General features: G+C 36.7%; 1 protein-coding gene across 26 annotated transcripts in view; it reads left to right on the top strand.

The window, feature by feature from the left end:
- The window catches only part of NEK10 (NIMA related kinase 10), a 262,900-nt gene that overhangs the window by 172,835 nt on the left and 76,049 nt on the right, over nt 1–14,016 (top strand). For all 26 annotated transcript variants that reach the window (XR_001740034.2, NM_001394969.1, XM_047447506.1 and 23 more), the window contains one exon: nt 4,307–4,520. Coding sequence is in view for 25 of the 26 variants with exons in the window: in NM_001394969.1 (NP_001381898.1) it covers nt 4,307–4,520 (214 nt within the window). In the remaining variant the exon portion in view is untranslated. The remainder of the gene's footprint in view (nt 1–4,306; nt 4,521–14,016) is intronic.

Below are 14,016 nucleotides of genomic sequence, written 5' to 3'. Positions count from 1 at the left end.
AAGTTCTGGAGTCAACTAGATTCTAATGCCCCCTCTTCCACTCAATTTAATTTCCCTGAGGCCCAATTTTCTCATCTATGATGTGTGGGTAGCAGTAGTAATTACTTTGTAGCAGGACGAGCCACAGGCAAGAACCCCTCAGATGCTGAGTTGTAGAAGGAAAGGGCTTTATTCAGCTGGGAGCACCGGCAGACTCACGTCTCCAAAAACTGAGCTCCCTGAGTGAGCAGTTCCTGTCCCTTTTAAGGGCTTACAACTCTAAGGGGGTCTGTGTGAAAGGATCGTGATCAATTGAGCAGGCAGGGGGTACTTGACTGGGGGCTGCATCCACTGGTAATCAGAACAGAGCAGAACAGGACAGGGATTTTCATGATGCTTTTCCATGCAATGTCTGAAATTTATAGATAACACAAGCAGTTAGGTCAGGGGTTGATTTTTAACTAACAGGTCCAGGGCACAGTGCTGGGCTATTTGCCTGTGGATTCCATTTCTACCTTTTAGTTTTTACTTCTTTCTTTGGAGGCAGAAATCGGGCATAAGACAATATGAGGGTGGTCTCCTCCCTTAACTTCATGGGCTTGTTTTAAAGCTTAAATAAGATAGTGCTTCTGACCCACTTAACGCAGTACCCAGCAAGTGGTAGGCACTCTATAAAATTAGGTATTATTAGTATTAATAATGATATTGTATTATGTACAGAATGAAGTTTATAAAGCAAATTGTGATAAATGTGATGAAAAATGGTAAAGGGGGCAATGAGAGATTACAGAAGGACCTGTCTTACTCTGGGAATTGGCGAAAAGTTTCTCTGAAAAAAGGACGTGTAATCTGAGACCTGGAACATTCATTAACTCTCAAATAGTAAGCAGCATTTCGCAGACCAGTATCTGTGAAGGCTTTGCTGAGGGAAAGAGCTTCTCAATTTGAGGTTGCTTTTGGTTCAAAATACTAAGATGCCACAATAAGTTAGAACTGACAATTCAACTTTATATCTGATAATAAATTAAGATTGCAGGGTGCATTCTGTAATAAATTTATTTTCATTTAAAGTTAAGACTCCTCATTGTCTGGGTTTACATTCCAAATAAAGTTTTATCTTTAGAAAATTTGACTTAAAACTGAAATCAATCATGAATTATATGCAATTGCATATTTAATTTGCTTTGGATTTTCAGTATTAAAAAATTGAGTTCTGAAAGAATTAGGGAACAAACTCAAATTTTGTATTTTCTTAAAGCAACAATGCAAGGGACACATAAAGGCAAGTATTCTTAATGATCATTTATGACTCAGCAAAAGATCAGGCTCACAGCCAATCTTTAGTAATTTGATAGAGCCTTTGAAATAGAAGACAGCTCTTGACAGAAATGTTTATTATAATCATTCCTAAAAATTATATTGTTTCTAATCATATATATCTTCTTTCCTCTATTTTACTATCTTCTCATTATTTTTCACATCCTTGTCAAGTAGAGCTCACACAGTTTGCATTTCTAATGTGCAGCATCTTTCCTTTTTCCTGTTTGCTCATGTGGTATACAAGCACATTTGTTATTGAAACTTGTCTTTCCTAGCAGGCCTTCAAATTGGGAGAATAACTTAGCAACCCTGAGGAGTTTGGGGAAGAAAATAAATATATTTTTTTGTTCTGCTCGGTACTAGGATTACTATTTTTACCTACTAGTGTACTATTAAGAGAATATTGTCTGTTTACTTTTTAAAAAGGAAGAACATTTCCTTTTATGCATAAAATATTCTATTAAAATCATTGCCTTATTTTTCTTTCTCTGTGCCTGGTTGCATAAGCTGCCTGGTGCTTTGCTTCAGAAGCAGTCATGAGGACTAACAAAGTTAATACTTTCAGCTAGCTCCAAGGACAAATGGATCTTTATATTTTTCACCCCTTTCAATTCTTTGTATCTTAAAACATGACATGAATGTAATTGAATAAGGTATCCTTCTAATTCTTTCCATCTGGCCTTTCAGAGTGGAGTGGGGACAAAGTGGATGAGGTGAGAATATCCTCAATTTTTTTAGGACCAGATTTTATGCTTATTTGTTTACAGAATCATTGGTAGACAATCTTTAGCATGTATTATGACTCTGATTCAGTTGCTGTTAAGAATTTCTCTGAGGCCGGGCGCGGTGACTCACCCTTGTAATCCCAGCACTTTGGGAGGCCGAGGTGGGTGGATCACAAGGTCAGGAGATTGAGACCACGATGAAACCCCGTCTCTACTAAAAATACAAAAAAATTAGCCGGGCGTGGTGGCGGGCGCCTGTAGTCCCAGCTGCTAGGAGAGGCTGAGGCAGGAGAATGGCCTGAACCCGGGAGGCGGAGCTTGCAGTTAGCCGAGACTGCGCCACTGCACTCCAGACTGGGCGACAGAGCGAGACTCCGTCTCAAAAAAAAAAAAAAAAAAGAATTTCTCTGAAATGCCTAAGCAGGGAGTCATTTCAGAGCAACGAGACTATCCTGGAACTTCTGGTAGGAAATGTTCCTGGGAATCCAAAAGTCTATGGCCAAATATTTTGGGTTATGGGTAGGTAAACTTTTTAGATGTTACGCTGAGTTTGTTTGTGGATTTATTCATTGATTCATTCGTTCATTTGCTGAATACCTATCAGGACTCAGATTCCATTGTATATGCTGGGAGATCATAGTGAAGAGGACACATGTCCCTCTTCTCTAGAAGTTTCCAGTCTAGTGGTGAAACAGACCATTATAGTAAAATAATTACAATAGTTTTAAGTACTTAAGTGCAAATGGTGCAAAAAGAATGTACAAAAGGGGCTCAGGATATCTGTCTGAAGGCAGTCCAAAAGTATTCCTAATGGAGCCTGGAAAAATAGTGGGATTTTGGCAAGTATATAAGAGATGATGGCTGAGATGATGGCTGGGAAAGATAAGATACCATGGGCAAAAAAAAAAAAAAAAAAAAAAAAAATCAAGCATATGGAATAAAATAAGCAAAGAAATGGGGGTATAGGAGAGACAGGTGCTATTTGGGGAAGTGCAGGTAGCCGCATTGGATGTGTTGCTGGAGGAGGGGAAAGAGTGGAGGAAGTTAAGGGCCAGTTCAAGAGAGACCTTGTATAGCATTCTGGGAATTTTAATTTTATCCTATTGGACCATGAGAACTATTGAAGAATTTTGAGTAGAGAAATAATATAGTCAGATTTAGGAATAGTATTCTGGTTAGCAGTTTACAGTACAGACCAGAGGTAGGCAAGAAATGAGTGTGTTATTTAGGAGACTCTTTCAGTAGTCCAAGTAAGTGACGTTGTAATAGCCAAATAGCTGTGGGATTACAGGGGAAGGATGTGGATTCAAGAAATATTTAGAAAGTAGAAGTCACAGGACTTGGTGTTTGTTAAATGTAGGAAGGGATGGAGGATACATAAAAGTGTGGATTTTCTTTTCAATTTATTGAAATTTTACAATGCATGTGCACTTCACAGAGATTACCTCGTTCAAACACCATACCAGTTTAATGAGGTAGGTACTATAATTATCCCATTTTACAGGTGGGCTATCTGAGTCTTAGAAGCTATGTAACTTGCCCAGGATCTGACTAATAAATGGTAAATGAGGTTTTAAACCCCAGCAAAATGATCCAGAGCCTGCATGCTGAGTTATGATGCTAAACTGCATCTTCTTTGTGGTGCCTTTTCCAGTGATGGCAAATACAGGACCAGGAGAGTAACCTTGGGCAAGGAGATGACTATATGCTAGGAGAACGAAGGTCATTTCCATTCCCATGTACCATAATATGTAGCTATATAATTTATAAAACTAGTTTACGTTGCTTTTTTTTTATTTTTAAAAAAGTTCAGCTGATAGTTCAGCTGCTAATATTACCTTGAAGCAGCTTAAACATCTGCAGTCTAAGAATTTAGAATATCCACACTAATGAAAGGTTTAGACACTGGGCTTTTTTTTTTTTTTTTTCCACCTGCCAGTGAGTTGGCAGTGATTTCAGAAAGCAGCCAACCCATGCAGGAGAAGATGGTCCCATCTGCCCATCCTGAGACCCGAAGAGCATCTTCATGCTCAGCCTGGAACCCTTACCTTCCAGCCCAAGTGCAAAGAGAATAACGCTGACTCCTTTTCCTTCCTTAGCTTTCCAAATGCCTTTTGAGAAGTCTTGGACTCAAAGCTGTGCTTGATATCCATCTTATCCCAGGTTATCTTAGGTGAAAATACCATAGTGGACACACAGTGGAGTTTAACCTTGACCCTTTACACTCTGTGGCCTGCTCCCAACATTGACCAGAGTGTTATAATTATCTCATGTTATCTTAGGTGCCTCACTCCTGATGCGGAAGCTCGTCCAGATATTGTAGAAGTCAGTTCGATGATATCAGATGTCATGATGAAATATTTAGACAACTTATCTACATCCCAGTTGTCCTTGGAAAAGAAGCTAGAACGGGAACGAAGACGCACACAAAGGTATTTTATGGAAGCCAACCGGAACACCGTCACATGTCACCATGAGCTGGCTGTTCTATCTCACGTAAGTGCAAATATTTCAATCGGTTCATGATGCACTCTAATGGGCTGTCTGAAGTTGTTCATGCTTGTTTTAAGGAACATTCATCAAAAGTTAGAAAAATAGTTACATGCAATATTGCAGTAGTATAGTTACATATTTATATCCATTTCTGTATCTTATATACAAATTAAAATAAATATAACTGACCTTCCTAAGAATGAATCCATAATTTATTTTATTTTTGCAAAAATCGAGGTATCACAAAGTTCTCTTAGCGAAGTTTAAGTTACAGACTGTAAAATTAGCAGTGAATGCTTATATTTAATTTCTTCAGCAATCTGACTGCAACTTTTGGGAATATGTATGAATATGTGAGTTAATTCAGAGAAGGAAATAACATTTGCCTTTAAAATTTTTCGTATTGTACTTTGCAATCTCTTTCATTGCCATTTGTGGTATTAATAATGTTGCCATGCTTCAAATCAGAATATGTCTTATTTTTCTTGCCAAGAACCTTTAGATTGTTTTGATATTTAAGTATATTTCTGAACATTGCTTGGAAAAGAGATGCCAAAGCTACAAATATCCACATGTGCAAGCAATGGTGCCAGTGATGCTCTTGTTGCTGTCTCTTATTTTCTTTCTTCTGTGTCTTTGTTGCAATCACAATCAGTGTTCTGTTGTTTGCTCATGCTTTGGGCCTCCACCCAGTGGCGACCTGGTAAGGGGACTTTCATCCTTTTTTTTTTTTTCCTGTTCTGGGGGTGGGCCCAAGGCAATTGGATCATAAAACTCTTTCTTAGGGTACCTGGTCATTAAATTCCTTCCCAGGATCCTAAGGACCTGCTCCATCTCAGCTGGTAAAATTATGTATGAAGTTGGTCTCAAAGAGGCAGTTCTGATTTCTTGAATAACAGTGTTTCCAGTGAACTGCTTTCTGAAAAGAAGGAAAGTACTACTGTTTAGTGGGTTTGTCTTAAGGTATTTGGAATCCAGAAGTTGAAGACTGAATCTAGTTTTCATTTGGGAAGGAAACTCTTTCATCTTCATTGCCTTAAATGCTGAGCCTAGATGTAATTTTGCAGAACATTCCATGATGATTATTTAAGTTATATGTTTATGTAAAGGAGCATATAACTTGGAGTTATAGCCCTTACTGAACACAGTTAAATCTCAGAAGGGGAGTTAGAGCTCACTTTGCTTTTTATTTTACTACCTGACTTCATAATAACTAGGCAACAATGCATCATTCTATGTATGTCATGTTGCATTCTAAATAGAGTATTCCTAGTAGACTAAAATGCAAGAGATTTAGCTATTTCTATATATCTTAGGTATTTGGGGCCTTCTATTATTAAGTTCTGCACTGCAGAGTTACTTAGCTTATTTCCAGTTGTATGTGAAAGAGTCATTTCATATTAGATTCATGTGGCTGATTTGGGGCTGAGTGGCATTAGTTTACAATCTAACAGCAGAAAGTCTGTTATCTTTAGCAAAACACCTTGAGAAGGACCATTACTTATCTATTTATTTACACTTCTCAGCTTAAAAAATTCTTTATTATGGAAAACTTCAAACGTTTATAAATGCAAAGATTACTTCCTGTACCCATCCCAGCTTCAACAGTTAGCTATTAAGGGCTAATCCTGTATCATCTCTATTCCCACCTACTTCCTTCCTTCCCCAGATTATTTTGAAGTAAATCCCAGATACCATATAATTTCCTCTATCAGTATTTCCATATGTGTTTGGAGAGTCATTTTAGCTTTAGAAATATAGATTTCAGGCTATCGCCAGGTAAAATAAAGGGAAAGCTCTGAAACCAAGGGAGGGATTTTAATGTTCCAGAGGTTGTATACTCATCCGTAAATTAAGGGGTAGAGGATATTATCTACCTCAGAGAGTACTAGGATAAATGAGTTAATGTGTTTGAATATATTGTATGACTTTAAAAGTGGCATAAATTGTAAGATAGCATCAGTCATATAAATGAGCATAGCTTTTGTTAGAAGAATAGTTTGTTGATGGAACTTGTTAATCTAGTGCTGACTTGTCCAAGTAGTCTCTACATTAAATCCTTATGTCAGGCATACAGTTAATGCATATATATTAGCACCTGCTGCTAGCCAGCCTCAGTGCCCTCATTGAGCATTCAGGTTTTTATGGACCATAGAGAAATGCTTTACTTCAAAGCAAAGTTTATATTCCTGCTTTAAATAGTCATACAGTACTTTCTCCTTTCGCACTATTTTAAGTCTACTGATACATTTTCATTTCAAGGTTAACCAAATGTTAACTAAAAGGAAAAAATGCAGCTTTATTAAAGAAGCAAGAAGGAAGATTGCATTTCATCAAAAGACAGTATGCAGTTAATTGGCATTTTTCTCAGTGGGGACCAATTATTATTTTTAAAAACTTACATCTACACCATTGCTGAAGAAAAATTATAGGTGTAAAATTTTATGACTCTTTTTTTCTTAAGCAGTATTATGATTATCTCATTTCAGATATACTGGAAAGTTCTCCCAGAGCAGTTATTATCAATAATGCAGTTACACAATCCAGTGATAAATTATAGTCAAGGGAAAGAGAAATTAGTGGGTTCAGTAGAACTTTATGAATTCCCAATATCAATAAGGGGATCCACTGTGAATTACTGAAATTTTGCAAATTAGTGGGTAAGCAAACAATTGATAAGAAACATTAAAGGTTTCTATTTCATGGGGAAGTATTCTATTTACTTTCATATTTTAGTCTATTCTTAATTATGGCAATTTTTATAGTGGCCTAGTAAACGTAAGTACTAATATATATTTTAGAAGAACAGAGAAGTCTTCACTAAAAAGTTCACTCTATGTACTGTGGTTTACCCACTATGAAAGTGAACCAAACCTTTCCTTTTGAAGAATGTTTTCTGATTCTTATAACTTAAAATAAGAGATCATAAGGAGAGTATAGAGTTGAGAATGATAAGAATCATGTAGAGTAAAAGGAAATAAAATTTTAACTTAAATGTGTAATAATTAGAATATTGTCATGTAGAGGGTATTGTGGCATCATAATAGTGAAAATCGTTATCCATGTTTTGGCACTGTTCACAGTGTAGTGAACACAGAGAATCATTACCCTTTCGATCTTATATCCCTGGCAGAAAAATCAATTAAAGACATTTCTGAAGAGTCTACTGCTTATATCTTTTCCAACAAATACAATAGTGTGTATTAAAGAAATTCAGCCTGACAAAACCTGGAGAATCAATGGAAAACTTCAATTCCATTAGAATTATTGGGATTTTATAGAGACAGCTTTAGGCTAACATTTAAATGGGTGAAAAAAGCATATTTCTATGTGTACAAATGGAGCAGAATTGAGTGTTCCAGGGAGACTGAAGAGAATTAATGAGAGAAGCATGCTGTCAGTGTGAGACTTGCAGGAATCACAACTACTTTTCCAGTGATATTTGACAGGAAGTTTATCTTCACCACCCCTATTTAAAGGCTGAATGATGATTTCTTTTTACTAGTTTAATAAGTTTGTTCAGTTTGGAGAACTGCTTTCACATCTATAACAGAAAGAGAGAAAGATTGAAAATGCCTGTGGTATATAATTAATAATGAAGGAACAGGGATTTGTTGGATGTCTTCTGAATGTAAGGCATTATGCTTGGTATAGTGAAGCTTATAAAAAATTATAAACAATGACCCCATTCATGAAGTAACTGATAATCTACTTGGAAAGACAAGATAGATGTGCATATGCAGGAGGAACTTTCTAATGATTCCGAACATTTTGGGTAAATAAATGAGATGAGGGAAATGAATTAATGAGGCCTAGGGAGGATCTCAGAGCCAAACAAAGATAGGGTCTTGATAACTAAATAAGGAAGTCACTCCTGGATGGAAAAGAATAACGTTAAGTGCAGAAACTCCAGCTCAGCTCACTTAATACTAAGAATCAAACTTAGAAATGGAATTGTTTTATGTTTTAATTGCACAAGGAAAGGGAAATCAGGAGAAGTTAAAAGACTTGTCCAAGTTCATCCAGCTAGTTAGGGACAGCCCCAGGACCAAAAATTGGGTCTGCTGATTGACAATGCATATTTTTATATGTGTAGTTTGAAAAGCCTGGGGAAGTAGGCTGGAGCTAGATGATGGATGTTTGTGAATACCTCATTAAGCTGTTTGAATTAAATCCTGTGGGTAACGTGGACTAAAACGTTGAATTTCTCCAAAATACCTAACAAGCAAATTGACAGACTATGAACTAATTCTTTCTTTTTTTTTTTTTTTGAGATGGAGTCTCACTCTGTCGCCCAGGCTGGAGTGCAGTGGCACAATCTCAGCTCACTGCAAGCTCTGCCTCACTATGGGCTAATTATTTCTTATTGTACATACCCGCTTTTTAATGTTTTTTACCCCCCAGTGTTTTCCATTACACTCCTCTGTCCTGGTTTCTGTCTTCTCTCTTTGAATACTCTTCCTCATTTTCTCTTCCATCCCTGGCCTTTTAACTTTAAAGGTTCTGCCTCTCTTACGCTTCCCTTGGTTTCCATCTAGTCCCATGGTATTTCATTTCATATGAATTTGGGTAAAAATTGGTGTGCAAGATGGAAACTTTATTTTCTATAATTATATATCATTTTGTTTTGAACCCCTGTTTGTGCTGGTAGCAGAAAATGGTAGTAGTAGTCAGGATCAATTATGTCGTTCTCTTTTGGTCTAAAAGTTTCTTTGCCATCCCAAGGGTTCTCTTCTCCGTGTCCTCTTCCGAAGATGGCAACAGAGTACAGGAGAAAGCTTAAGCATCCCCATGTCGATGAGAGAGGGGCAGGGGCTCTGGACTTCTTCTATTGGCCCCTGCTGAACTTAGATGACATGAACCCTGTGATTTTTGGATGCTGACCTCTGTCCTTATTAAATGTTTATGGCATCTGTAACTCATGGCCTCTTTTATCATCATGGCTTAAACCCAAAGAATTACCCATGATGCCCCAACTCTCCCCTTGGGGTTACTATTTTTGATCCTCTGAGTCTTGATTGTGACTTTCTTGGCATTCTTAGTTTAAGCAGCCTACTCTGTGGTCCTCAGTGCAGTGATGGCCAAGTGAACTCACCTGCCAGCCCCAGAGCTGTCTTCTACATTGGCACAAGACACATGGGGGCTTTGGATTCCCATCCACACCACACACAGCCCATGGGGAACTCACTGGCACTAGGGGACCCTATCTCAGCCCCATCAGCTCCAGTGCCTTCTTCATCCTTTTCTATTCTTCTGTCCCAGGTGCCTACAATTCAATTATTCATTCAACAAGTATTTACTGAGTGCCTAATAGGTGTCAGGCACTATGTGTACAAAGTATACCACAGTTAGCAAAATAGACAAGGCCTCTGCTCTCATGGGCCTTATGTATATAGTGTTATGATGATCATGAAGCTTCTTCAAAGCTCCCGGTCTTTTCTGTCTGTGCCCCAGTTTCCCCCTCAAACTCTCCGTGTATCTCCATCAACAGCCCAACTCTAATCCCAAGGTTCGCATCTGCTGGAGTGGATGTGAGAAGGAAAAACAAGGAGGCTTGCACTTGCTCTTTCATTTTCTCTTCCTTCTGGCAGGCTCTTATTTTGAGCTCCAGAAGAAATTTCCAGTTCGCACCTTTCTGCCAGAAGCTACCCTTGCATCTATTATATCCTTCTTTTTCTCCAGGTATTCTTTTCCCCTGTCTTCTCCTGGGTCTATAAATCTCAGCCTCATAAACTGGTCTTAACAGTAGAAGAAAAGAGCTCTGGAGAAGTGCACAAAATTTTCTGCGAAGGCAAAATATGTTGGGATGTGTTTCGCAACATAATTTCCACACCCATTTGCTGGAGATCACCAAAGCTGCCTGTCTGATCTCAGTCTCTCTGTGTGCCAGACCTATATTTTGAACCGAACATTCACCTGCATGTCTAACAGGTACTTATGCTCGGCAAGTCCACAGTGAATGGATTCTCCTCCCTTGATCAGCCATGTTCTGTCTCCTCATATCACCTTAATTGTAACCTTGACATCTTCAATTCACTCTCTCTGAAATCCTGTATTCATTTTGTTAGCAAGCTCTACTAATTCTGTCTTTGAAATGTCTGGCAAATCCATCTTATCCTTTCAGTTCTCATTCTCAGTATCTTGCATTATATCATTGCAAGATCCAACTTTCTTGTCTCTAGTTTTTTCCTTACTTCTACCAAGTGATTCAGTCAGTATATCACCTCTGCACTGTCCACTAGGGGCCATTAAGGAATGTGTGTACTGGGGGTGGGGTGGTATAATTGTTGTTTATCACTGTTAGCAGCCAGGGATGCTGATATGTCATATACATTGACAGTCCTGCACAAAATGTGAGAAACAGAACGAGCAGTAGATACATATTCAGATATTTATTGCAAGGAACTGGCTTACATGATTGTGGGGACTGACGAGGCAAGTGCAAAATCCATAGGGATGGTTGGCAGGAGGAACAGGCTGGAAATCTTGGTCATGGGCTGAAGCTGTTTTCCACAGGCTGAATCTCTTCCTCATCTCAGAGATGCCTCAGCTCCACTTTGGAGACCTGCCACCTGATTAAATCAGTTCCATCCAGATTATCAGGGATCATCTCCCTCCCTTAGCCATCTTCCACATTCCTACCCAAACTATTTTCCAAAAAAAATATCTGATCTTGGTAAATTGTTTCATGCTTATGACAATAAGTAAATGCTCATGTAGTGAGTCCTAAAAATTTTCTCTAAGCTTTTGGTGAATCTAAAAAAAGATTCCTATGATAATTTGATATTGCCAGAGTCAAAATATGGCATACATAAGTGTCATCTTAAATTCCATCTACTTTGGAGGAGCAGGCTGGTAGAGCAATTATTAGCAAATATTATTTTTTAAATTCACAAACTGTTCATAACTTCACTTCTTTGTTATAAAATTCTTATTGTAGTTTTCTAATCTATGATTTTTAGCAGACATTGACAGATACTGATATTTTTCATAAATTCTCAGATGTCTTTAAAGTTGAGCATATAAGAATTGAACAGATATGTAAGCATCTAGATTCTCATTTTTTTAATGCAAATTAAAAAATGTGCTATTTATTTATCTGGGTTGCTTTATTTTTATTATACCATATGTCATTTACAATTGCTGAGCACACCACTAAAGTCATGTGTCTGCAATCCTCTGCTAGGAGATTAAATTAAGCCATGTAGAAAATGATGTATTTTTAAAGGACAATATTTTTGTGAACATCTTTGCTTTTATTGTCTGGTTAATTGTTGACTGAATTTCTCCCAAGGCTGTGAAAATGCTACAAGTAATGATGTAGGAAGAGAAATATCAGGAAAAACCATGACTTGTTTTGGAAATGTTCTATGCTCATTATGTTATATGAAAATAAAGCAATGCCTTATAGGCTTCCTCACAAATACAGACACAATTCTCACATCCACACTACAATTCTCTCTTTTTTATTGACATATAATTTACATGTAGTAAAATGTACACATCTTTAGGTGCCTAGTTCAGTGGCTTTTGGCACATGTGTAACCTCCACCCCAAACAAGAGTTAGAACATTTATCTCACCTCAGAATGTTCCCTTAAGCCTCTTTCTATACAATTCTCTGCCCCAGGACGTAGACTGGTGATTTCTGTCACTATAAATTACTTTGCCTGTTGTTTGACTTCATTTAAATCAAACACATGTTCTCTTTAGTGGCTGGCTTTTTTTCCATGACAAAATATCTATGAGATTCACCCACGTGGTGTGTATTAGTAATTTGTTCATATTGCTAGGCAGTGTTAAATTATATGACTACACCGTAATTTGTTTATCTGTCCTGTTGATGAACACTTACGTTTTCTCCAGATTTGGAATTTCTTAACACTGTTGAAAACCTATTTACAAAAAGACCCATACAAAAATGTTTATAACTTTTTTCTCTTAGATAAAGACCTAGAAATAGAGTTTCAGGGTTATAGGTAGTTGTATGTTTAACTGTTAAAGAAAGCACCAAATAGTTCTTCAAAATTGTACTGTTTAACACTTTCAGAAGCAGTATATGAGAGTTCTAGACGTTCCACATCCTTGCCACTATTTGGTATTGTCAGTCTTTCCGATTTTAGCCTTTGAGGTGTAATGATACTTCTTTCTGGTTTTAGTTTGCATTTTCCTGATGATCAATGAGGTTGAGCACATTTATGTTTGATTTTAGCTATTTATATATCTTTGTGTATGTGTATGTGTTAAATATCTGTTCAAATCTTTCGCCTGTGATTTTATTGGATTACTTGTCTGTTTTTGTTGATTTGTAGGAGTTCTTTATATATGCCAGATAATGAGCCTATTGTCAAACATATGTATTGCAAACATTTTGTATAGTCTATGGCTTGCCTGTTTTTTTAAATTAATGACATTTTTTGGATAAACAGAAAATTTTAATTTTGATGAAGACTTATTCATGTAATTGTTTGTGGTGGTCAGTGTTTTTTGCCTCTTTGTAATGAAATTGTTGCCTACCCTAAGGTTGCAAAAATAAGATTCTTTATATTTTTGTAAATGTTTTAGACCTATGATCCCTTTTGATTTAATTTTGTGTATAGAATAATGAGGAGATTGACTTTTTGGTTTTTTTTTTTGGTCATTTGGGTATCCAGTTTTTCCAGCATCACTTCTTTAAATGTCTAGTCTTTTCCCATGGATTTTGCTAAGCATCTTTATTGAAAATTGCCTGACAATATATATGTAGATCTACTTACTTTTTTCTTTTTTGTTTATAAATATTTTTAAATTTTAAATTTTAAAGTTTTAATTATTTTGAGTACATAATAATTGTACATATTTATGGTGTACATGTGAAATTTTGATACAAGAATAAAATGTTTAATGATCAAATCAGGGTAATTGGGGTATCAGCCACCTCCAACATTTATCATTTGTTTGTGTTAGAAACATTCCAATTGCATTCATTTAGTTATTTTAAATATACAATAAATTATTGTTAGCTATAGCCACCCTATTTTGCTACCAAACACTAAATCTTATTCCTTTTATCTTACTGTATTTTTGTACCCAACCGTTCCTTTTTTATCCCCCCTCTCCTCTCCTCTTCCCAGCCTCTGGTAACCATTATTCCACTCTTTATCTCCATGAATTCGATACTTTTTAGCTCCCACGTATAAGTAGGAACATTTTGTATTTCTCTTTCTGTGCCTGGCTTATTTCACTTAACATAATGTCTTTCAGTTCCACCCATGTTGTTGAAAATGACAAGAGTTCATTCTTTTTTATGACTGAAAATTTTCCCATTTCTTTATCAATTCATCTTTTGATGGGTACTTAGGTTGATTCCAAATCTTGGCCATTGTGAATAGTGCTATAATAAAAATGAGCATGCAGATATCTCTTCAACATACTTATTTCTTTTCTTGTGTATAAATACCTAGCAATGGGATTGCTGGATCATATGGTATTTCCATTTTTAGTTTTTAAAGGAAACTCCA

This window comes from Homo sapiens, chromosome 3, assembly GCF_000001405.40.
Source record: "Homo sapiens chromosome 3, GRCh38.p14 Primary Assembly".
In the NCBI taxonomy this organism is placed as follows: Eukaryota; Metazoa; Chordata; class Mammalia; order Primates; family Hominidae; genus Homo; species Homo sapiens.
This window is presented reverse-complemented; position numbering and strand designations above follow the sequence as displayed.